Source organism: Homo sapiens, chromosome 1 (assembly GCF_000001405.40).
Source record: "Homo sapiens chromosome 1, GRCh38.p14 Primary Assembly".
NCBI classification, from domain to species: domain Eukaryota; kingdom Metazoa; phylum Chordata; class Mammalia; order Primates; family Hominidae; genus Homo; species Homo sapiens.
Window position 1 is genome coordinate 151,376,857 of NC_000001.11, and position 25,307 is coordinate 151,402,163.

Sequence of the window (25,307 nt, forward strand, 5' to 3'; positions counted from 1 at the left end):
CAACATAGTGAAACACTTTCTCTACAAAAATTACAAAAATGAGCCAGGTGTGGTGGTGTGCACCTGCAGTCCCAGCTACTCGGGAGGCTAAGGAGGAGGATCACTTGAGCCTGGGAGGTGGAAGCTGCAGCAAGCTGTGATCATGCCACTGCACTCCAGCCTGGGCGACAGAGGAGGCTCCATCTAAAAAAAAAAAAAAAAAAATTATAAGCCATTTTGTTTCAGTTATGCCTCCTAGCCTGTAGCCTCCCTCCACCCTGAATTTTTTTGAAACATTGCTTTAATGTTTCAGAATATATCTCTTTAAAATAGGAATTCTGAATTGGGTATGGTGGCTCACTCCTGTAATCCCAGCACTTTGAAAGGCTGAGGCAAGAGGATTGCTTGAGCCAGGGAGTTCAAGACCAGCCTGAGCAACATAGGGAGACCCCGTCTCTATGAAAAAAAAATTACCTGTGGTCCCAGCTATTCAGGAGGCTGAGGTGGGAGGATCACTCAAGCCCAGGAGTTTGAGTCCAGACAGGACAACATAGCAAGACTCTCATCTCCTAAAAAAAAAAAAAGGAAAGGAAAGGAAAAAGAAGGGTCTGACTAGAACAGAAATTATGTATCTTGTTACACATTTAATGCACAAGAAGAAAAGATGAGGTGGGTTTGAAAACCAATTATGCAGACTGGAAGAGGTAGCAGCAACTTTGGTTACAAGGACACAGGTGACGCTTGCCATCACCAACACCCTCTCTCCAGCCTTTCTCCTGTGCCAAGCCTGGCTCCAGAAGAACTGAGACAAGAGCCATAAAATGGCTTTCATGCAATAATCTCCACCTTTACGAGGCCCACTTGGCTAGCACCCATTCATTTAAGAGTCCTGAGAAGAAAGAATTACATCAGTCTTGGTTAATGGCCCAAATTAAGCCATCAAACCCCTAATAAAGCTTCTATTTTGAACATGTTACAATACTTGAAATAAAATTTCCAAAGGAAAATAAAAGCCCTTCCATTTGGGGGCAGGAAGAATCTTTGGTCCCTGGGGTCATATCCCTGAGTCACAGTTTCTCTACTAAGGCTCAGGACGGGCAGAAACAAATCCCCTTCTTTGCGGAGCCCAGGCCTCCACTTTCTCACCTCAGCACCTGAATGCTGCCTGAGAAGAAGTTAGGGGATCCTTCTCCCAGTGTCCCAGAAGGACAGGAGGCCAGAGACTTTGGGAGACATGGCCTCAGGTCTACATGGAATTGGGAGGAGGCCCGGGCAGGGGCTTCACTGCCCATCCTGGATCTGCTGTCTCTTTTGCATCATATCCACCCGGCTGGTTTCCTTTACAATCTCCTCAGGGTCACGTCCATGTGCAGGAATGCTAAAAGTGCTATGTGGGATATGGGAGCCCCAGATTTCCTTTCTCACCTTTTCAAAAGGTGCTCAGAAACCAAAGTTTAAAAAGGCTTAAACTGAAAATAATAGCTGTTCCCAATATACAGTAATCTTTAACAAATCAATTGGAAAAAGATAAATTACACAAAGAAAAACATTCCAAGGATATGAAAATACAATATAAATGGCTAATAACCATAAGAAAACATACCTGGTCTCATTAGCCATTAGAGAAATGCTGGTTAAAGCAACAAAAAGATATGATTTTCAAAAATAAAAAGATTGATAATATTCAGGATCAGAAGGAGTGTGGGGAAAAGGACCACTCCTGTATTCTACTGGCAAGACTATAAAATGGTGGAACATTTTTAGAAGGAAATTTAGCAACATCTAGCAACATTTTAAATGGAAATCCACTTCTAGTGATCTACCTTATGGAAATCAATAAGTATATAAATATATAAATATAGGATGTTCATTGCAACAATGTTCTTAATAGTGAAAGGTTGGAAACAACCAATAGCAGAATGGTGAAATATATTATGGAACATCCATAGTATGAAACACCAAGCACCTTAATGTGTAGTTTTCTATATACCAACACAGAAGGATATCAATAAATACGGTGGAGGGGTGGGGGAAACCAGAAAGTATAATCTCATTTCATTTTATTTTTTATTTTTTGAGACAAGAGTCTCGCTCTGTCACCCAGGCTGGAGTGCAGTGGTGCCATCCTGGCTCACTACAACCTCCGCCTCCCGGGTTCAAACAATTCTTCTGCCTCAGCCTCCCAAGTAGCTGAGATTACAGGCATGTACCACCAAGCCAGGCTAATTTTTTTGTATTTTTAGTAGAGATGGGGTTTCGCCATGTTGGCCAGGCTGGTCTTGATCTGCCTGCCTCAGCCTCTCAAAGTACTGGGATTACAGGTGTGAGCCACTGTGCCCAGCCTCATTTTAATTAAAACTACATAAAAATTAAGCTATATAGTTTTAACTAGTTAAATTTATATTTATTTATTTATTCATCCATCTATACGTTCATAGAAAAGGATTTGGCTTATGATTGATGTCAGTATTTTGGGAGGCTGAGGCAGGCAGATTGCTTGAGCCCAGGGGTTTGTGACCAGCCTGGGCAACATAATGAGACACCGTCTCTACAAAAAATTAAAACAATTTAGGCCTGGCAGGCTCCTGTAGTCCTAGCTACTTCGGGGGTGGGGAAGGTGTGCTGAGGTGGGAAGATTGTTTAAGCCCTGGAGGTCGAGGCTGCAGTGAGCTGTGATTGCACCACTGCACTCTGGTCTGGGTGGCAGAGTGAGACGCTGTCTCAAAAAAAAAAAAAAGTAGGCCGGGCGTGGTGGCTCACTCCTGTAATTCCAGGACTTGGGGAGGCCGAGGCGGGCGGATCACGAGGTCAGGAGATCGAGACCATCCTGGCTAACACAGCGAAACCCCATCTCTACTAAAAATACAAAAAAAAAAAAAAAAAAAAAAATTAGCCGGGCATGGTGGCAGGCGCCTGTAGTCCCAGCTACTTGGGAATCTGAGGCAGGAGAATGGCATGAACCCGGGAGGTGGAGGTTGCAGTGAGCTGAGATCGTGCCACTGCACTCCACCCTGGGCGACAGAGCAAGACTCCGCTTAAAAAAAAAAAAAAAAACCTAAAGAAAAGGATTTGTAGAGATAAAGCTTCCCTTATCATGCCAAATGTAGCTAACAGTGGTTACCTCAAGAATTGGATTACAGGGAGCAATTTTTATTTTTCACATTATGTATCAATCATATTTTTAAAATTTTATATTAAGTTTGAAATACATGTGTAAACAATTGAAACAGTGAAAGAATACAGTAACATTTTTGCCTATAAGATGGGCAAAAAATTTAAAGGTTAAAATCTTGTATTGGTGAGACTATGCGGCAAAGGGACCACTCATTTAGGACTAATGAGAGTGTCAATTGGTGCCTTACTAACAAAAACAATTTGTCAATACCTCACAAAAGTTAAACTGTGCATACTGTTTTACCTAGGAATTTCACTTCAAGGATGCAATCCCATGGAAATACCTGCACAAGTAGGCAAGAAACAGGTACAGGTTGAGGCGGTGGCTCACGCCTGTAATCCCAGCACTTTGGGAGGCTGAGGCAGGTGGATCCCCTGAGGTCAAGAGTTCGAGACCAGCCTGGCCAACATGGCAAAACCCTGTCTCTACTAAAAGTATAAGAATTAGCCTGGCGTGGTGGCACACACCTGCAATCCCAGCTACTTGGGAGGCTGAGGCAGGAGAATCACTTGAACCTGGGAGGTGGAGGTTGCAGCGAGCCAAAATTGCACCACTGCATTGCAGCCTGGGGCGACAGAGGGAGACTCTGTCTAAAAAAAAAAAAAAAAAAGAAAAAAGATATAGGTACAGGTTGAGCATCCTTAATCTGAAAATCTGAAATCCAAAATGCTCCAAAATCTGAAATGTTTTGAGCACCAGTGTGACACCACAGGTAGCAAATTGCGTGCCTGACCTCACGTGTTGGGTCACAGTCAAGACTTTGTTTCATGTACAAATTATTTAAAATATTGTATAAAGTTACCTTCAGGCTATGTGTATAAGGTGTTTATGAAACACAAATAAATTTGCGTTTAGACTTGGGTCCCATCCCCAAGATATTTTAATATATATATATGTATTCCAAAATCTGAAAAAAATCTGAAATCTGGAACACTTCTGGTCCCAAGCAGTTTGGATAAGGGATACCCAAACTGTAATAATAAAATAACAACAGCTATCATTTATTAAATACATGGTACTGTTCGAAGTACTTAGGGATAAAGAAAGAGAAATGAACCACATCCACCTCATATAAAAGCTTTCCATGTGCCAAGTACTTCTCTGAGCTATTTGCATGTTCTGCCTTTACTTATACAGGGTTTACAACATCCCTATGAAGTGGGTATTTTCATTATGTCCAATTTACAGATAAAGAAGTTACAGCATAGAAAGAGGAAGCAACTCATACAAAGTTACACAGCTAGTGAGTAGCAGAGCCCAGGATCTGAAGCCAGGCAGTAGCTTCAGGCTCTGGCCTGGGACCTCTATGCACATAAGTTCGCAGCCCCTTCAGACAGAATGCTTTTGTGTTTTGTTGCTTGGATGGCTGGCCAGCACATTCAGCCCTTTCTATATTGGGTGGGAGGCAAAAGGCCAGATACTCACCGTCCCAGGCCTTAGGCCTCCTTGCTGCTAGGAGCAAGCATGTGACTTGGTCTTGGACGCAGCCAGGTGTGCCCACCGGAGACTCCAACACAAGGAAGTAGGGAGTGGGTTCTGGTTGCTGCAGGGAAGGCTGGTGTGCGGGTGGGTCACCATGCTGCAGAACCTCCCAGGGTCCAGCGCAGCTGGTGGTGCCATGGCAGCACATAGAACTTGAGGGGTAGAGGCAGTGTCCTTTGATTGGGATCTAGGACAAGAAAGGGCTCTCTGGCTGCAACCACTTCTGCCACTGGGGCCTTATGATCGAGCAGATCCAGTGATGCTTGGTGAGTTGGGGTGATCCATGGGATGAGGCAGGCAAGAGGCAGAAGGAGAGTCCCCAGGGTGACCCCAAATGATTGAGCCCAGCCCACTTCAGCAAAGAACAGTTCTCTTGAAAAACAGCCTCTTCTGAGCTTCTGGGTCCCAAGAGAAACCAAACATGAGAGGATGGGACACCAGGTGGCCTTTGACTCAAGCCTCCTTATGAACTGGGGATTATCTGATCCACCTAGCTAGCCCAGGAACCAAGCCCAGGAGCTCATCATCCTTAAGTAGAACTGGGTTGAGCCCGAAAGGAACCCTGAGAGTGAAGCTGCCAACAGCAGAGAGAAGCTGCGGAGTCGCCTGGCTAGCCCTGTCTTGCCAATACCCTCTCCCCTCAGTCCACCCTAAGAGCTTTAGAAGTTATACATGAAGACTACAGAGAAGAAAAACATTCTAGGCTGGGTTACAGGTGGCTGGCTCTCCACTATACACCATCATCAGCCAGAAGTGGTCTATTATTAAGAGATTAACAACAAGAATTTTAGAACCAGACTGTGTGTGTGAATTCCACTTCCACCAGTTACTAGCTTTATGAATCTGGGCAAGTAATTTAACCTCTCTGTACCTCGGTTTCCTCATCTCTAAAAGAGAGAAAATAAAATATCTATTCCCCTCATAGGGTGTTTTGAAAATTGCATGATGATATACATAAAGCTCTTCGAAAAGCACCCAGAACCTAACATACGCTGTGTTGTTGTTGTTGCAGCAATACAGCCCTTCTGAGAAAGTTCTAGAGAGCTGTTGAACAACAGTGTGAAATACTTAACACTACTGAGCTATACGTTTAAAAATGGTTAAGATGGTAAATTTAATGTTTTGTGTTTTTTTGTTTTGTTTTTTGAGTTTCGCTCTTGTTGCCCAGGCTGGGGTGCAGTGGCGTGATCTTGGCTCACTGCAACTTCCGCCTCCCAGGTTCAAGCGATTCTCCTGCATCAGCCTCCCAAGTAGCTGGGATTACAGGCTCGTGCCACAACACCTGGCTAATTTTTTGTATTTTTAGTAAAGGTGGGGTTTCACCATGTTGGCCAGGCTGGTCTTGGACTCCTGACCTCAGGTGATCCACCCGCCTCGGCCTCCTAAAGTGCTGGGATTATAGGCATGAGCCACTGTGCCCGGCTGAAAATGTAAGTTTTTAAACATAGAATTTTCTAATTGTGATTTTCACTTTCAGGCTGGGTGTGGTGGCTGACTCCTGTAATCCCAGTGCTTTGGGATGCCAAGGCAGGGGGTCAGTTGAGGTCAGGAGTTTGAGACCAGCCTAGGCAACATAGAGAGACTGCATCTCTAAAAAAAAAAAAAAAAAAAAATTAGCCAGCATGGTGGGGCACACCTGTAGTCCTAGCTATTTGGGAGGCTGGTGCATGGGATTCCTTGAGCTCAGGAGTTTGAGGTTACAGTGAGCTGATGGCGCCACTGCATGTCAGCCTGGGTGACAGAGCAAGACCCTGTCTCTGGAAGAAGAAAGGAAAGAAAATGAGTGGTCTTTTTATTAAATTGCAGATAATTAGAAATGCCTCTTTATTAAAAAAATAATAATAAAGCTGTTTTGAAAGACGGCCTTCGAAGTTACTGTCATTGCATTGGACACGTTGCCTTGGAGGAGACGCAGCCTGAGGGTCTGCCCTGACTCATGAGCAGGGCCCATGCTTTGCTGGGTGGACAGACTTGGATAGAACAAAATCAAAGGGCTGGTGAAAGGGGGTTTGGGAAGAAGGCCTGTGAATGGACCTCACAGAAAGAGCCCAGAATGCAAGAATATTTGTGTCTAGTGTAGCCATTCAACCAGCAGGCCCTCTCCCTGGAGGATGCTCGTGACGATGGAGGGTGAGGCGAACCTGTTCTGTGGATGTCATTGTTTTCTCACTGATATTCCATGAACAAAGAGGTTGTGGTGGCTAGAGCAGAGGCTGCACATGGCCTTGCCAGCATGGACCTCCTCTTTCTGAGTCAGGCCCAGTTGGAGCCACTGCTGAAGACACAGAAGCTACCACAACAGTCCACCACCTGGGGAAGGGTTGTTTCCACTACTGTCTGCCAACATGGAGGGAGCAGAAACGCATTCTCTTTAGAAGGCAGTTTCATATTTCTAGGTTTGGATTTGCGTTCTCTGACCCGATACTGCCACCACCACCATCTATAGACATCCTGGATGTCTCATACACTATCACAGTGCCCCACACTGAGTTACCACTTCTGACAAAGGGTCTCACTGTACAGTGAAAGACGGGTAATGATACCCAGCGTGTGACGAGTCCTGCAAGTGTTAACCCATCTTCACAGCAAACACATAGATCTAGGCACTATTATTAGCTCCATTTTACAGATAAGGAAACTAAGTCACAGAGAGGTTTCATAAATTGCCTGAAGTCAACTGTGAGTAGTGAGGTCCGTATTTGAACCCAGACACTATGGCTCAGAGTCCATGCTGTGAACCCATGGGAGTCATGGATCTTACCATGTACCTCATCCCTCAGAAGCAGCTGGCCTTAGGGAAGACTCAGTTATGGCAAAACCTTCTGAGGTTGGAGTGCTGGCCACAGAATGCAGTTTATGCCCTGAACCTGCAACCATTCTGCAGCAGCGTTTCTGTCTCAGCTGGAATTCATGATGGGCCCAGGATCAGAGAGGTAGAAGTGGAAGTAGGGCCTCTCGCTATTGCACCTGATGACCCATTCACAACATTTTCACGTGCAGTCCCATGATGCTGAGCTCTGCTAGGTGGGAGGTTTGATGCCCCACAGAGATTAGCTTCCACAAAAATAAGCATTGAACTGGAAGCTGAGACAGCTACCTTGCTCTTCTGGGCTCCTTATGCCATCGAGTGAACAGGCAGAAAAGGAGAAGATGTGAGCTGTGGTGATCAATCCTGACATCTTGATGATTTACAGGAAAAAGAGTTGCTGTTACACAGCAGGGCCAGGGAGGAGGATGGGAGGAACCCTCAGCAGCCCACAGGAATATCTTGTACCACCATGTCCAATAGTTAAGGTTAACAGAAGATGAAAGCATGAGATAACCAAGACTTCAGGTCCTCTAGCAGCAAAGGCTTAGGTCACTCTACGAGGAAAGAACCCCAACCATCTTCAGTCCTGGCTGTACTAACATAGTGGTTAAGAGGCTGAGCTCTGGTACCAGACTGGCTGGGGTTCGAATCTGTGTGCTAACACTGCTGGCTGTGTGCCTTTCCTTACGTTAGTTTGCACATCTATAAAATCGAGATGATAATAATTAATATCTCAAATGGTAATTTTGAGAATTAAATGAGTTAATACTTGTAAAGCACTTAGAACATGTTCTGGCATGTAATAAGCACTCTATAAATGTTACCTATTATTAAGTCAAAGGAATGAGAAGTAAAAGGGAACCAAGTCATAAATACTAGCTACAGCCTCAGGATCAGTTGGGAAAATGAGACTATGACACACAAAACCCTGTACAGAAATGTTTATGCCAGTTTTATTTGTAATAGCTAAAAACTGGAAAGAAAAACCCCAGATACCCTTCAATGTGTGAATGATTAAATGAACTAGTAAGTCCAGGCCATGGTGTATTACTCTCCAATAAGAGCGAATGAATGATTGATACATGCAGTGACCTGGCTGAATCTTCAGAGAATCATGCTGAGTGAAGAAAGCTAATCAAGAGGTTTCATACTGTATGATTCCTTCTAAAGAACTTTTTTTTTTTTTTGAGACAGTCTTCCTCTGTTGTCCAGGCTGGAGTGCAGTGGCGTGATCATGGCTCACTGCAGCTTCAACCTCCAGGGCTCAAGGGATCTTCCTGCCTCAGCCTTCCAAGTAGCTGGGACCACAGGTGAGTGCCGCCACACCCAGCTAATGTTTTTAAATTTTTTTTTGTAGAGATGGTGGCTGGACACAGTGGCTCACGCGTGTAATCCCAGCACTTTGGGAGCCTGGGGTGGCAAATAACATAAGGTCAGGAGTTCGAGACCAGCCTGGCCAACATGGCGAAACCCCATCTCTACTAAAAATACAAAAATTATCCAGGCATGGTGGTGCATGCCTGTAATCCCAGCTACTCAGGAGGCTGAGGCAGGAGAATAGCTTGAACCCAGGATTTGGAGGTTGCAGTGAGCAGAGATCACTCCACTGCACTCCAGCCTGAGTGACAGAGTGAGACTTCGTCTCAAAAAAAAAATTTTTTTTTGTAGAGTTGGGGTTTCGCCATGTTGCCCAAGCTGGTCTCAAACTCCTGGGCTCAAGTGATCCTCCTACTTCAGCCTCCCAAAGTGCTGGGATGACTTACATGAGCCACCACGCCCAGCCTATAGAACAGGGGTCCCTAACCCTTGGGATGCAGACTACTACTGGCTGTGGCCTATTAGGAACCAGACTGCACAGCAGGAGGTGAGCCCCAGGCAAGCTTTACAGCCTGAGCTCTGCCTCCTGTCAGATCAGCAGCCACATGAGATTCTCATAGGAGCTCAAACCCTATTGTGAACTGTGCATGAGAGGGATCTTTGTTGTACACTCCTTATGAGAATCTAATGCCTGATGATCTGAGGTGGAACAATTTCATCCCAAAACCACACCCCATCCCCCGCATCTGTGAAAAAATTGTCTTCCATGAAACCCATCACTGGTGCCAAAAAGATTGGGGACCATTGCTATAGGACATTTTTGAAATGATAACATTATAAAGATGGAGAACAGACAGTGGTTGACAGGAGTTAAGGGGGTGTGGGGTTGGGAAGGAAGTGCATGTGGCTGTAAAAGAGATCCTTGCAGTGATGGAAATGTTCTATATCTTGACTGTGTCAATGTCAATATCCTGGTTGTGATAATGTACTATAGTTTTGCAAGATGTTATCAATTGAGAGAAACTGTGTAAAGGGCAATCTTTCTGTTATTTCTTACAACTTCATGGGAACCTACAATTATCTCAAAATACAAAGTTTAATTTAAAACATGAGAACAGTAATTTATTTATTTATTTATTTTTTCCTCTCGAGACAGAGTCTCGCTCTGTCACCCAGGCTGATCTCAGCCTGGGTGTGATCTGGGCTCACTGCAACCTCCACCCCGGGGTTCAAGCAATTCTCCTGGCTCAACCTCCCAAGTAGCTGGGATTACAAGTGCCTGCCACCACACCCATTTAATTTTTTTGTATTTTTGGTAGAGACGGGGTTTCACCATGTTGGCCAGGCTGGTCTCAAACTCCTGAGCTCAGGTGATCCACCCGCGTTGGCCTCCCAAAGTGGTGGGATTACAGGCATGGCCCACCGCACCCAGCCGAGAACAGGAATTTCTACCTATATTTCCTTCCTTACTGTGTTGTGTGTGTTTGTATGTGTGTGTGTTTAATTTGTAGCATTTGCCAGTTTCTGTGGTGTAAATACTCCCACTACAGCTGTTTTCAAGCTAACATTGTGATACCACAAAAAATGGAATTGGGAAGGCACAATCAAGATTAACAAGCCAGTTTAGACCAAGACAATTTTTCTGCCCTATTAGTTGGGCACAAGTTAGAAAGGCTGATAGTATCTCATGTTGGAAAGGTGAGAGAGAAGGGCCCTCATGCATTATTAATGGCATATGCATTGAAGTGCCCTTGTTTGAGGGCAATGCTGTTAGTAACTTTTAAAATATGAGATGTCATACTTTTTGACTGAAAATACAACTCTTGTAGGATTCTATTTTATAGAACTACTTAGGTGCATAAATATACAAAAATAACTGTCATTGCAGCATTATTTGTAATAGTGGAAACAGAAGACTTTTCATTAATAAGAGAATGGTTAGGCCAGATCCAGTGGCTCACACCTGTAATCCCAACATTTTGGGAATCCAAGGCAGGAGGATCGCTTTAGCCTAGGAGTTGGAGACCAGCATGGGCAACATAACAAGACCTTGTCTCTACTAAAAAAAAATAATAATAATTAGTCTGGCATGGTGGCACACCTGTACTCCCAGCTACTTGGGAGGCTGGGGCAAGGAGGATTGCTTGAGCCCAGGAGATTGAGGCTGCAGTGAACTGTGATCACACCACTGCACACCAGCCTGGGTGACACAGCAAAACTCTGTCTCAAAAAAAAAAAAAAAAAAAGCACTTCGGAGGTCGAGGGAGGCGGATTGCCTGAGCTCAGGAATTTGAGACCAGCCTGAGAAAAATGGTGAGACTCCATGTCTGCAAAAGATATAAAAATTAGCTGGCTGGTGGGCGCCTGTAGTCCCAGGAACTGGGGAGGCTGAAGTGGGAGGATGGCTTGAACCTCTGGGAGGCGGAGACTGCAGTGAGCCGTGACCCACCACTGCACTGCAGCATGGCCAACAGAGCCAGACCCTGTCTCAAAAATAAAATAAAATAGGCCAGGTGCAGTGGCTCACACCTGTAATCCCAGCACTTTGGGAGGCCGAGGTGGGCGGATCACCTGAATCAGGAGTTTGAGACCAGCCTGACCAACATGGAGAAACCCCGTCTCTACTAAAAAATACAAAATTAGCTGGGCGTGGTGGCGCATGCCTGTAATCCCAGCTACTCAGGAGGCTGAGGCAGGAGAATTGCTTGAACCTGGGAGGCGAAGGTTGCAATGAGCTGAGATCGCGCTATTGCATTCCGGCCTGAGCAACAAGAGCGAAACTCCATCTCAAAAATAAATAAATAAATAAATAAAATAAAATAAATAAAAATTAGCCAGGCATGGTGATGCGAGCCTGTGGTCCCAGCTACTCAGTAGGCTGAGGCAGGAGGATCACTTCAGCCCGGGAGGTTGAGGCTGCAGTGAGCCATGGATTGCACCACTACACTCCAGCCTGGGTGACAGAGTGAGACCCTGTCTCAAAAAGAAAAAAAATGGTTAAATAGTTCATAATATATCTGTGCTGTGGAATATTGTGAAGCAATTACAACAAGTTAAGTAGACTATACAGGGGAGGAGGGCCAAGACATTTGAGAGCAAAAAGCAGGCTGCCAAACTGTATATAACACGATTCCATTCCAAAAAATAATTCTGTTTGCATGTGGATAAAAACAGTCTAGAAAGACACAAGATAAAAATGAAGGTTACTTGGGAAAAGAGTGAAGTTGGGTAATTTTTACTTTGTATATTTATTTATTTGGGAGAGTTTTGCTCTTGTTGCCCAGGCTGGAGTGCAATGGCGCTATCTCGGCTCACTGCAACTTCTGCCTCCCAGGTTCAAGCGATTCTCCTGCCTCAGCCTACCAAGTAGCTGGGATTACAAGCACCTGCCACCACGCCCGGCTAATTTTTGTATTTTTAGTAGAGACGGAGTTTCACCATGTTGGCCAGGCTGGTCTCAAACTCCTGACCTCAGGTGATCTGCCCACCTCGGCCTACCAAAATACTGGAATTACAGGCATGAGCCACCACGCCCAGCCTTATTATTATTATTATTATTATTATTATTATTATTATTATTTTATTTTATTTTATTTTTTGAGACAAAGTCTCGCTGGGTAGCCCAGGCTGGAGTGCAGTGGTGCAATCTCGGCTCACTGCAACCTCCACCTTCTGGGTTCAAACGATTCTCCTGCCTCAGGCTCCCAAGTAGCTGGGACTACAGGCGCCCGCCACCACGCCTGGCTAATTTTTTTATTTTTTTATTTTTAGTAGAGACGGGGTTTCACTATGTTGGCCAGGGTGGTCTTGAACTCCTGACATCGTGATCTGTCCGCCTCAGCCTCCCAAAGTGCTGGGATTACAGGCGTGAGCCACCGCGCTCGGCCGTACCTGTCCTTCTTGGGAAGGCTTTCCAGGTATTTGAAGGGACTTAGGTGTTGTCATCTAAGCTGTCTCTGCATTAGGCGGCACCCCAAGCTCAGTAATGCTGTGGTCCCTGCAGCCTCATAGAGTACCACCTTGGTGGTCCTGAATAAGAGCCAAAATAATTCTCTGGATTACCAGGTAGAAATTCCTATTCTCTTCTTGTATTTTCTTCCAAACAAACAGAGTCTCTCTCAAAGTCTCAAAGCCATTTGTAGTGGCATAAGGATCTTGCCTGTGAATAGCCACTGCTCTCCAGCTTGGGCAACATAGTGAGAACTCATCTGTCAAAAAAAAATTTTATAGTAATGCTGAAATCTAAAATCGTATTATAACCTCTCTCAACCCACCATTTCCCTTTCCAGGGACCAAGTTACTCCCTTCCTCCCCTTTCCCCAGGAAAGCCTACTTCCTGCTTTAATTCCATTATAATTGGCAGATTTCATTTATTTTTATTTATTTATTTTGAGACGGAGTCTCGCTCTGTCGCCCAGGCTGGAGTGCAGTGGCGTGATCTCGGCTCACTGCAAGCTCCGCCTCCCGTGTTCTCGCCATTCTCCTGCCCCAGCCTCCCGAGTAGCTGGGATTACAGGCGCCCGCCACCACGCCGACTAATTTTTTGTATTTTTAGTAGAGACGGGGTTTCACCGTGTTAGCCAGGATGGTCTCGATCTCCTGACCTCGTGATCCGCCCGCCTTGGCCTCCCAAAGTGCCGGGATTACAAGCATGAGCCACCACGCCCGGCCGCTTTCATTTATTTTTTATTGCTGGAAAATGTTTCAGAAGTTCCTTACTTTTTTCCCAGAGTGTCATTATAAGTAAGACTATATAAAACTCATTTTCAACTGCCACTATGACTCAATTTTACACACATGCGCGCGCATCCCCCACCCTCGCCTGCCCACATTCTTAGTGTTGTTTTGTGTGTTTAAATTAGCGCAGATGGTACCATATCATATATGTCATTCTGTGGTTTATCTGGTTCACTCAACAATGTGTTTGATATGTTAGGTTCTTTCCTTTAAGCTACCTTGTAGTATTCTTTTGTAATAATATACTGCATTTTATCTACTCCCCCTTGATGAGCATTTAGACTGTTTCTATTTTTTTGCTATTACGAACAATGCTCTGATGAACATTCTTGAATGTTTCCTAACGTGTACATGTGAGTGTCTCTATGTTATAGGTTTATTGGGTAATTTAGCATGTGTAATTTTCAGTTTTATTAGGTGCTATCAAGTTTTTTTTTTTTTTTTTTTTTGAGACAGAGTTTCACTCTTGTTCCCCAGGCCGGAGTGCAATGGCACAATCTTGGCTCACCGCAACCTCCACCTCCCGGGTTCAAGTGATTCTCCTGCCTCAGCCTCCTAAGTAGCTGGGATTACAGGCACCCGCCATCATACCCGGCTAATTTTTGTATTTTTAGTACAGACGAGATTTCATCATGTTGGCCAGGCTGGTTTCGAACTCATGACCTCAGGTGATCCACCCGCCTTGGCCTCCCAAAGTGCTGAGATTATAGGCATGAGCCACTGCACAAAGCCTTAAACATTGCCTCAAACCTCAGTGACCTTTGCCTAGAGGTGTAAACCTTGACTCTAATCTACCCCGACTAAAGGACTATGACTCTGGAGCATAATCTTGGCAGGAAGCATGTTAGAACTGCCCTTCTCATTGCCAGTCTCTGATTTTATTTGTTTGATTTAGCACAGATTAGGGGAAAATCTGAATATCCATAATCAGACAGGTTCACTGGTCTGAGAAGGGTGTGGAGGTTGAGCACAAAATTTCCTCTCCCTATTCCAGAACTTGGGAGTTACACAGTTCAGTGAACCCTTGAAGGTAGAACATCAGAGGAACAGAGGGTACAGAACTGAATGTGTAAACTGTTGATCTTCTGGGCATTCCTGGTTGTGAGCTTTCCCAGTATGAGAGGTGCTCAGAACGGGGTGGGCCAGGCCTAGTGGTTCAGGGGAATAACGTGTTCTGAATGTGTGTTTATTCTTTTCAACTTTATTATTTTTATTTATTTATTTATTTGTTTATTTGTTTTGAGATGGAGTCTCACTCTGTTGCCAGGCTGGAGTGCAGTGGCGTGATCTCTGCCCACTGCAACCTCCACCTCCCTGGTTCCAGCGATTCTCCTGCCTCAGCCTCCCGAGTTGCTGGGATTACAAGCGCCCACCACCATGCCCAGCTAATTTTTCTATTTTTAATAGAGATGGGTTTTCACCATATTGGCCAGGATGGTCTCGATCTCTTGACCTCATGATCTGCCCGCCTCGGCCTCCCAAAGTGCTGGAATTACAGGTGTTAGTCACCGTGCCTGGCCTTATTTTTATTCCTTATTTTTGAGACAGAGTCTCTCTCTGCCACCCAGGCTGGAGTGCAATGGCACCATCATGGCTCACTGCAGCCTCGGCATCCTGAGTGCACGCCAGTCTCCCACCTCAGTCTCCTGAGTAGCTGGGACTGCAGGTGCACACCACCAGGTCTGGCTAATTAAAAAAAATTTTTTTTTGTAGAGATAAGGTCCCATTATGTTGGCCTTGAACTTGAACTGCTGGGATCAAGTGATCTGCCAGCCTTGGTCTCCCAAAGTGCTGGGATTATAGGCGTGAGCTACTGTGCCTGGCCTTATTTTAAGCAATGCCACCAAAGGGCTGAGGAAGGAATGAAGACTAGATGAACTAAAATTTCAGAGAGGGGAGAACTTTTCTGAGGTGAGTTGAGTATATACTTAGGATTGGGTTTAACCTAGACAGAATGCCTCTCCTTGGGAAGACCATCAAAAGTTTCTGGTGGCCATGCAAAGCAAGTTGGAAACTTAAGGGGCCTCTAACTATGGCCAGTTTTACCTATGGAATATTTGCTGAACACTGGGAATGTGCAGGAGCCTGGAGAGTCAGGCTAAAAGCTCCTAAAAGGCAGACTGAATCTCCTATGGTCTGGAATTATTGATTAAAAAATGAAGATCTGCTGAGGCAGAGCAGGGAGAAGAGCCTCAATTACTCAACTGGTCTTCTCCTCCTCAAGATATTTGCCAGATTTTGAGTCTGCATGAAGTAGAAGCCTGGAGAGCTAGCTCAATATCATTCCGTATTTCAGGGCAGAGAGGATGAATACCTGTCCAGTTTTCAATCAAAGGTTGTGAGAGGCCGGGCACAGTAGCTCACATCTGTAATCCCAGCACTTTGGGAGGCTGAGGTGGATGGATGGCTTGAGTCTAGGAGTTCAAAACCAGCCTGGGCAACATAGTAAGACCCCCATCTCTTAAAAAAAAAAAGAAAAAGAAAAGAAAAGAAAAATTAGCCAGGCATGGTGGCACGCACCTGTGGTCCCAGCTACTAGGGAAGCTGAGGTGGGATGATCACCTGAGCCCAGGAGATGGAGGTTTCAGTGAGCCATGATTGCACCACTGCACTCTAGTCTGGGTAACAGAGCAAGGCCATCTCAAAACAACAACAAAAGGTTGTGAGAAGGGGGATGAACCAGGCTGAAACAGCAACCCAGTCCTGTCACAGTCTAATCCCAGATTGAATTGAAGTGATCAGATCCTTACTCTATCTGCCTGATAGAAAAAAGGGAAAACTCTCTTTGGTAGAAGATGATATGATATGGCTCCTCTATATTTACTCATAATTTCTGGCAAACAATACAAAATTGTAAAACTTGCAAAGTCAAAAGTAAACGTGACCAAAATTAAAGAAAAAAAAAAGATAATGGAAGCAGACCCACAGATGATCCAGATATTAGAGTTAGCATTCAAGAATGTAAAATAACTACAATTAACATGTAAAGGAAAATAGAGAAAATGATGAATATATAGATGAAAATACGGATCATTTAAACAGAGAAATAGAATCTATAAAAAAAGTCAAATGAACATATTAAAACTGAAAAAAAATCTGAAATTAAGAACTCAGTGTACAGGTTTAATAGCAGATTGGGTACAGCAGAACATAAGATTAGTGAACTTGAAGACAGGTCAGTAGAAAATACTCAAACTGAAGGACAGAGATTTAAAAAAGAATAAAAAAGAAAAAGAAAGGAGGAAGATTAGGGGTAAGCTAAAATATCTACCATACATACATCTGGAGTCTCAAAAGGAGAGAAGAAAGATTATTGGGCAAAAGCAATATTGGAAGAGATAAAAACAGTAGTGCAGCCATGGATAAACTGGACATGTTTTCTTTCTTATCTTCCTTTTATAGCCCCTGAGGCCAGATAATTTTCCAAACTGATGAAAGATATCAACTCACAGAGTCAAGAAGCTCAGCAAACCCAAGCAGGGCAGATACAAACAAAACAATTCCTAAGAATATACTAGTAATGCTATTAAACACTGGCCAGGCATGGTGGCTTATGCCTGTAATCCCAGCACTTTGGGAGGCTGAGGTAGATGGATTACCTGAGGTCAGGAGTTCAACACCAGCCTGGCCAACATGAACCCCATCTCTACTAAAAATACAAAAATTAGTCGGTCATAGTGGTGTGTGCCTGTAATCCCAGCTACCTGGGCAGGCAGAGGCAGGAGAATCGCTTGAACCCGGGAGGCAGAGGTTGCATTGAGCCAAGATCATGTCATTGCACTCCAGCCTGGGCAACAGAGCAAAACTCCATCTCAAAAAAAAAAAAAAAAAAAAAAAAAAAAAAAAAACACAAAAAACAAACAAACAAAAAAAACTATTAAACATCTTAAAGAAGTCAGAGGAAAAAAAGCCACATTACCTTCAAAGAAACAATATGACTAACAGGTAACTTTTCAACAAAAACAACAGAAGTTTGCTGGGTGCAGTGGCTCACACCTGTAGTCCTAGTACTTTGGGAGGTTGAGGCAGGCAGATCACCTGAGGTCAGGAGTTTGAGACCAGTCTGGCCAATATTATGAAAACCCTTCTCTACTAAAAATTGAAAAATCAGCTGGGCGTGGTGGCACATACCTGTAAACCCAGCTACTTGGGAGGCTGAGGCAGGAGAATCGCTTGAACCCAGGAGGTAGAGGTTGCAGTAAGCTGAGATTGCACCACTGCACTCCAGCCTGGGCAATAGAGTAAGACTTTGTCTCAAAAAAGAAAACAAAACAAAACAAAAACCGAAAAACAAACAAACAAAAAACCAATGGAAGCCAGGAGACAATGAAATAACACATTTAAAGCTCCAAAAGAAAATAACTATCAACCTGTGCCAAAGGATAAATGCTACAAAAATAAAAGTTTAAGAAAGACACTTTTACCAAAACAATCTTGAAGAAGAACAAAGTTATAGGTCTCACATTTCCTGATTTCAAAACTTATGACAAAGCTACAGTAATCAAAACAGTGTGGTACTGTCATAAAGACAGACACACTGGCCAGGCGCGGTGGCTCACGCCTATAATCCCAGCACTTTGGGAAGCCAAACTGGGAGGATCATGAGGTCAGGAGATCAAGACCATCCTGGCTAACATGGTGAAACCCTGTCTCTACTAAAAAATACAAAAAATCAGCCAGGCGTGGTGGTGGGCGCCTGTAGTCCTAGCTACTCGGGAGGCTGAGGCAGGAGAATGGCGTGAACCCCGGGAGGCAGAGCTTGCAGTGAGCCGAGATCGCACCACTGCACTCCAGCCTGGGCAAAAGAGCGAGACTCCGTCTCAAAAAAAAAAAAAAAAAAAAGACAGACATACAGACCAATGGAATAGAATAGAGAGCCCAGAAATAAACATTCACATACATGATCAAATGAGTTTTGGGCTTTTTTTTTTTTTTTTTTTTGAGACAGGGTCTCACTCTGTTGCTCAGGCTGGAATGCAGTGGTGCAATCATAGCTTATTGCAGCCTTGAACTCTTGAGCTCAAGCAATCCTCCTGTCTCAGCCTCCCAAGTAGCTGGGACTACAGGCACATGCCACCACACCCGGCTAATTTTTAATGTTTTTGTAGATATAGGGTCTCATTAGATTGCCCAGGCTGGTCTTGAATTCTTGAGCCCAAGCAATCCTCCTACCTTGGCCCCCCAATGTGCTGGAATTACAGATGTGAACCATTACACCCAGCCTCAAATGAGTTTTGGCAAGGGAGCCAAGACCATTCAATGGGGAAAGTAGAGTCTTTTCAACAAACAGTAGTGGGAAAACTGGATATCCACATGCACAAGAATGAAGTTACAGCAATACAAAAATTAATTGGAAATGAATCAAAGATTTAAACTAACAGCTAAAACTGAACTGTTAGAACACGGGAAAAGCTTCATGACATTGCATTTGGCAACGATTTCTGGAAATGACACCAAAGTCAGGACAAGAAAAGAAAATAAATAGGACTACATCAAAATTAAAAGCTTTTGTGCATCAAAGGACACTTTGCAAGACAAACTCAGTTCCTGCCTTTATGGAACTTTTAGCTTAGTAAGGCAGTCTTTCAAGTTATGACGAATGCTATGAGAGGTGTTATAGAATTGAATTACAGAGGATATAAAACTTCAAAAATCCTCAGGGGATCCTCAAGGGGGACTCACATACTAGTGCAGCCATGGATACATTGGATATGTTTTCTTTCTCATCTTTCTGTTCTAGTCCCTTGGGACAGACCTTGCGTAGGTCAAGAAAGAATCCTTAACTGTATTGGAGTTGAAGGTTCAAATCCCATTCTCTTAAAAAGTGGAGTAGTGGCCCGGGCACGTTGGCTGACGCCTGTAATCCCAGCACTTTGGGAGGCCAAGGCGGGCAGATCACCTGAAGTCAGGAGTTCGAGACCAGCTTGGCCAACATGGTGAAACTCCATCTCTACCAAAAATACAAAAATTAGCCAGGCATGGTGGTGGGCACCTATAATCCCAGCTACTCAGGAGGCTGAGGCAGGAGAATTGCTTGAACCCGGGAGGTGGAGGTTGCAGTGGGCCAAGATGTCTTATGTCTTGTTCTCACGGTTCTCACGTTCTTTTGAATATTGCATCATCAGTAGTTAGCAGTTTGCTTTCTCTGACATCCTACTCTCAGGAGGGATGACTCTGGATCCTCTCATTTAAAAAATTATTTTATATATAGATAAAATATATAGCTATATTACCCCACCGGTAACATAGCTTCTAAAAGCTCAGGGTCACATCCCTGAGGTGACCCTCTCCTGCCTTAAAGTGTCTGCCTGAGAAAACTCAAGGCTGCCAAAATAATTTACTTTGTTCCAGCCAATACCTGAGAATAGGCCAGGGGCAGTGGCTCACGCCTGTAATCCCAGCACTTTGGGTGGGCAGCTTTCTTTCTCTCTCTTTCGTTCTTCCTTTCCTTCCTTTCCTTTCCCTCCCTCCCTCTCTCTCTTCTCTTCCTTCCTTCCTTTCCTTTTCCTTCCTTTCCTTTCCCTTCCTTTCTTTCTTCCTTTCTTTTTCTTTCTGTCTGTCTCTCTTTCCTTTCTTTCTTTCCTTCCTTCCTTTCCTTTCCTTCTTTCCTTTCTTTTCTTTCCTTTTTTTGAGACAGCGTTTCGTTAGTTCTGTCACTCAGGCTGGAGTGCAGTGGTGCAATCTTGGCTCACTGCAACCTCTGTCTCCTGGGTTCAAACAAATCTCCTGCCTCAACCTCCCAAGTACCTGGGATTACAGGCGTGTGCCACCACACCCGGCTAATTTTTGTATTTTTTGTAGAGATGGGGTTTCATCACGTTGGCCATGCTGGTCTTGAATTCCTGACCTCAGGTGATCCGCCCATCTAAGTCTCCCAAAGTCCTGGGATTACAGGCATGAGCCACCGCGCCCGGCCTGAGGTGGGCAGATTTCTTGAGCTCAGGAGTTTGAAACTAGCCTGGGCAACATGGTGAGATCTCTCCTGGTCTCTACAAAAAAATACAAAAATTAGGCCGGTCGTGGTGTCTCACGCCTGTAATTCCATCACTTTGGGAGGCTGGGGTGAGAGGATTACCTGAGGTCAGGAGTTTGAGACCAACCTGGCCAGTGTGATGAAACCCCATCTCTACTAAAAATACAACAACAACAACAAAAAAAAAATTAGCTGGGCATGGTTGTGCACCCCTGTAATCCCAGCTACTGAGGAGGCTGAGGCTGGAGAATCGCTTGAACCAGGGAGGCGGAGGCTGCTTTGAGTTGAGATCGTGCCACTGCACTCCAGCCTGTGCAACAGAGCAAGACTCCCTCTCAAAATAAGAAAAAAAGAAAAAAAACAAAAACAAAAATTAGCCGGGTGTGGCATCTGTAGTCCCCAGCTACTCGAGAGGTTGCAGCTGGAGGATCGCTGGAGCCGGGGAGGCAAGGGTCGCAGTGAGCCGAGATCATGCCACTGCACTCCAGCCTGGGTGACAGAGCCAGACCTTGTCTCAAAAAACAAACAAACAAAAGACACCTAAGGACAGTGTTGAGGATGGTATCCTCACCAGTCTCTGTGGGAGGATGGAATCCTAACTTCCATAAATGCCAGCTAGCAGACATCATTGACCTAAGCACATTTACATTGACTAATTCTGTAAATGTTCACTTCCCTGACTCTACTGACCCTCTGTCTCACTGTCCCCTAACCTCATTTTCCCTATAAAATACCCATTACTTGCATACAAATTGCAGTTGAGTTCAGTTCATGCTGAACTGTTTTTCCTTATTGTAGTAGTTATTACTGATTGAAATCTGTCCTTTCCACTTTAGTGTCCGGCTTTGTTTATCTTTGACAAAATTCACCAGTTTGATTCAAGACAGTTTCCAGCCCCTGCTATGGAGTTACACTGAGAAGGAAACCCCTGGAATTTAGTTTCACCCCTACACTTCCAATGGAATTTTTCTGTTTCTTTAGAGGTGGGCAAGGGCCCTTGACAATAAGGAAACTTTCAGACTTGTCTAAGGTCCCACAGAGAGTGCTTGATCCACCTGAGCTATCACACCCCACAGGGTATACACAAGTGTATTCTTTTTTTTTTTTTTTTTTTTTTTTTTTTTGTGACAGGGTCTCGCTCTGTTGCCCAGGCTGGAGTGCAGTGGCGCCACCTTGGCTCACTGCAACCTCCCTCGGGTTCAGGCGATTCTCCCACCTCACCCTCCCAAGTAGCTGGAATTACAGGCCTGGCTAATTTTTTGTTTTGTTTTGTTTTGTAGAGGTGAGGTCTCACCATGTTGCCAAGGCTGGTCTTGAATTCCTGGGTTCAAGTGATCCTCCCGTCTTGGCCTCCCAAAGTTCTGGGATTACAGGCATGAGCCACCGCACCCGGCCCTGATTCCTTTTTTTATTCTAGCTTCAAGATTCAGTTCTACCGTTATCGGCTGTGTGACTGGGTAAATCACTACACCGCAAGCCTCGGTTTCCTATTTACCAAATGGGTCGAATAATGCCTGCCACATGGGGCTGCTCTGAGGAGTACAGATGTAAGAGATCCTGTGTTCACTGATATTTTCATGTGGGCTTTTTGATAATGATACAAAAGGAACATGAGAACTGTGACTTCTAGGCCGGGCGAGGCGGCTTACTCCTGTAATCCCAGCACTTTGGGAGTCCGAGGCAGGCGGATCACCTGAGATCCGGAGTTCGAGACCAGCCTGGCCAACATGGTGAAACCCCATCTCTAGCAAAAATACAAAAAATTAGCCAGGCGTGGTGGCAGGCGCCTGTAATCCCAGCTACTCGGGAGGCTAAGGCACGAGAATCGCTTGAATCTGGGAGGCGGAGGTTGCAGTGAGCCGAGATCGCGCCACTGCATTCCAGCCTGGGGGCCAGAGCGAGACTCCGTCTCAAAAAAATAAAAAATAAAATAAAAAATTGTGACGTCTCACTCAGGATCAGCGTCTTTAAGTGGCCACCTCCCCACCCCACCTTCATGCCTCCCTCCTCCTTGAATCGTGTGTTAGAACGCTGTGATCTGGTCCAAACTCCACGGAGATGCGATGCGATGCGAAGCGATGTTGGGCAATTTCAACTCCCTGTCTCGGTCGCCACCTAGGATTACTGCATGTTCAGCTACGACCTCATCAACATGGCTGCTGGAAGTCGTCTACAGGAAAAAGAAAGAAATGACACTGAAGGATCACTTCCGCTTCCGTTGGCGCAAGCGCTTTCATTTTTTCTGCTACCGTGACTAAGATGGAAGCGTTTTTGGGGTCGCGGTCCGGACTTTGGGCGGGGGGTCCGGCCCCAGGACAGTTTTACCGCATTCCGTCCACTCCCGATTCCTTCATGGATCCGGCGTCTGCACTTTACAGAGGTCCAATCACGCGGACCCAGTAAGTTCTCGGCGCTTTCGTTTGCGTAGCGGGAGGGACCGTGGGGCCTGGTGCTGCCGGCTGGTTTTGAGAGCCCGGGAAGGTGAGGCGGGGACCCCGGGGGCGCGCGAACGGCAGGGGAGCTCAGGGCGCGGAGTCCTGGAGAATGCAGAATAATTGGAAGGAATTATAGAAAATCAGAAGCGCAGCTCAGTGCGCGGAAAGAGGGCGCAGTCCATCCCCCCTCTCAGCTCCCACCGTTCTCACTCTTTAGGAACCCCATGGTGACCGGGACCTCAGTCCTCGGCGTTAAGTTCGAGGGCGGAGTGGTGATTGCCGCAGACATGCTGGGATCCTACGGCTCCTTGGCTCGTTTCCGCAACATCTCTCGCATTATGCGAGTCAACAACAGTACCATGCTGGGTGCCTCTGGCGACTACGCTGATTTCCAGTATTTGAAGCAAGTTCTCGGCCAGATGGTGTAAGTCATCCAGAGAACAGGAGAGTGGTTCCCAAGTAGAGAGGGGAGTCCCCTGTTTTTTATTCCCTTCGATGGGATGGGGGGACTTGTTGCAGCGGGGGACTGGAAGAGTTGTTGGAGGTGGGCGATCTGTGTTTGCAATAAAGTTTTTGGCATTAGGTGTAAAATGGGGGAAGGTGTGGTAACTTCTTTTGGGGATGGGTGGAGACCCCGACTTAATTCTCTCCCTTTTCTCACAACCAATTCCTTTTAAGGATTGATGAGGAGCTTCTGGGAGATGGACACAGCTATAGTCCTAGAGCTATTCATTCATGGCTGACCAGGGCCATGTACAGCCGGCGCTCGAAGATGAACCCTTTGTGGAACACCATGGTCATCGGAGGCTATGCTGATGGAGAGAGGTTCATATGAATACAAATAACTTATTTCCTTTACCACCCAACCTAGTACCTGTGTAGTATCTCTTCTGTCTCTTCTCCCCAAGTGAATCCCACTTTAACTCAGACCCCATGGTCCCCTTCTTCAGCTAAGATGAATCTAAGGTGAAATGAGTTTTGACCCATTGTGTCCTGTTAGCTTCCTCGGTTATGTGGACATGCTTGGTGTAGCCTATGAAGCCCCTTCGCTGGCCACTGGTTATGGTGCATACTTGGCTCAGGTAAGTAGTAAGTCTAGAGGTGGGGGAAAGGGAAGACAAAAGGAAATGGATTAGTGGTTGTCTGCTTTTCTCCTGAAATTCTGATATGAGGGATGGGCTGGGATCGCTATTACTGGGCAGATGGTTTTCTTTGTAGTCTGGGGGCTGTAGGTGTTGACACTGATTCCAGTGACAAGATGACATGACTGGGAGTCAGTAGACATGCAAAGAGAGGACACCCTAGAACTTCTTCCTGAAGTGGCTCTTAGCTTATTTTCTAAGCAGAGTTCATTCTGGTGAGGCAAGAAGTAGAATGTCATCTTTCACTCTAATGCTTTTTATACCATAGATTTGAGACAACTAGCCTGTTATTCAGCCCAATATCCCCCCATGGTTTTCCCCCAATCTCCCTAGCCTCTGCTGCGAGAAGTTCTGGAGAAGCAGCCAGTGCTAAGCCAGACCGAGGCCCGCGACTTAGTAGAACGCTGCATGCGAGTGCTGTACTACCGAGATGCCCGTTCTTACAACCGGGTGAGGGATGTGCTGGGAACCTAATTGGCGGGCTCTGGCTACTTGCAATCCCTGGGTCTCTATGCTTTGAAGAACAGATTGCCTTACTTGTGTGACTCCTATTTTCACATTGGGGAAGACCTCCACCTGACCTTTCATTTAAGGACTTAAGGCGTGGGCATTATTGAATGCTCTGCTTTCTTCCAGTTTCAAATCGCCACTGTCACCGAAAAAGGTGTTGAAATAGAGGGACCATTGTCTACAGAGACCAACTGGGATATTGCCCACATGATCAGGTGAGTAATAGGGAAAAAATTGGTGACAGACTTGGGAGGTCTTTGGCTTACACTAAGCTGGGCTTTTCTGGGAGGCTCACCCAGGAAAATTTTCTGGGTGGAAAGTTTTGGTTGGACAGTACAGCTATTTTTAGGAATTGATCCCTTTATGCTTCACAATTTTATTATTCTGTCTTCCTTTTTTAGTGGCTTTGAATGAAATACAGATGCATTATCCAGAACTGAAGTTGCCCTACTTTTAACTTTGAACTTGGCTAGTTCAAAGATAGACTCTTCTTTTGTAAAGTAAATAAATTCTTCAAAATGCTTGCTGAGTGGTTTTTGTCTGACTGGGTCACACCAAGTGCAAAACTGCTGAGTACTGCCATGTGCCATCTCCCTCCCTGGTCGGAGAACCCTTGTGGTCTTGCAGCACACACAGAAATTCTCTCTGCACAACACAGAAAGACACACTAGCGTCATTTGGAGCTGTATTAGAAGCAGAGCTTCCTGTAGAAGCCAGACTTAATTTTTGTGTGCTAACTGGCTTTTGT

The 25,307-nt window shown here is 45.2% G+C and overlaps 1 protein-coding gene across 1 annotated transcript, besides 4 other annotated features; it reads left to right on the forward strand.

Annotated features, from left to right (window-relative positions):
* Positions 22,074 to 22,796: an enhancer, noted in NCBI's record as "NANOG-H3K27ac-H3K4me1 hESC enhancer chr1:151371406-151372128 (GRCh37/hg19 assembly coordinates)". NCBI's record gives its function as "activates a minimal SCP1, AML or CMV promoter by ChIP-STARR-seq in primed H9 embryonic stem cells {active_cell/tissue: H9 hESC(primed)}" and the evidence as "EXISTENCE:reporter gene assay evidence [ECO:0000049][PMID:30033119]".
* Positions 22,397 to 22,446: an enhancer, noted in NCBI's record as "active region_1720". NCBI's record gives its function as "activates an Ori minimal core promoter by ATAC-STARR-seq in GM12878 lymphoblastoid cells {active_cell/tissue: GM12878}" and the evidence as "EXISTENCE:reporter gene assay evidence [ECO:0000049][PMID:35858748]".
* On the forward strand, positions 22,717 to 25,081 carry PSMB4 (proteasome 20S subunit beta 4). Its single transcript, NM_002796.3, has 7 exons — positions 22,717 to 22,871; positions 23,125 to 23,331; positions 23,586 to 23,732; positions 23,908 to 23,989; positions 24,383 to 24,499; positions 24,686 to 24,774; positions 24,961 to 25,081. Exons 1-7 carry the CDS (start codon positions 22,732 to 22,734, stop codon positions 24,971 to 24,973), a joined length of 795 nt encoding a protein of 264 aa, NP_002787.2. The 5' UTR covers positions 22,717 to 22,731; the 3' UTR covers positions 24,974 to 25,081.
* Positions 22,797 to 23,518: an enhancer, noted in NCBI's record as "NANOG-H3K27ac-H3K4me1 hESC enhancer chr1:151372129-151372850 (GRCh37/hg19 assembly coordinates)". NCBI's record gives its function as "activates a minimal SCP1, AML or CMV promoter by ChIP-STARR-seq in primed H9 embryonic stem cells {active_cell/tissue: H9 hESC(primed)}" and the evidence as "EXISTENCE:reporter gene assay evidence [ECO:0000049][PMID:30033119]".
* Positions 23,287 to 23,444: a silencer, noted in NCBI's record as "fragment chr1:151372619-151372776 (GRCh37/hg19 assembly coordinates)". NCBI's record gives its function as "represses an EF-1alpha promoter that drives an FKBP-Casp9 reporter gene in an ReSE screen in K562 erythroleukemia cells {active_cell/tissue: K562}" and the evidence as "EXISTENCE:reporter gene assay evidence [ECO:0000049][PMID:32094911]".

Excerpts from the sequence above, each read along its gene's own strand:
- PSMB4 (NM_002796.3), top strand. The coding sequence starts at position 22,732 with ATGGAAGCGTTTTTGGGGTCGCGGTCCGGACTTTGGGCGGGGGGTCCG. Across the intron at positions 23,733-23,907 it reads GGCTATGCTGATGGAGAGAG|CTTCCTCGGTTATGTGGACA; the intron begins GTTCATATGAAT and ends GTGTCCTGTTAG. Across the intron at positions 23,990-24,382 it reads ATGGTGCATACTTGGCTCAG|CCTCTGCTGCGAGAAGTTCT; the intron begins GTAAGTAGTAAG and ends CAATCTCCCTAG.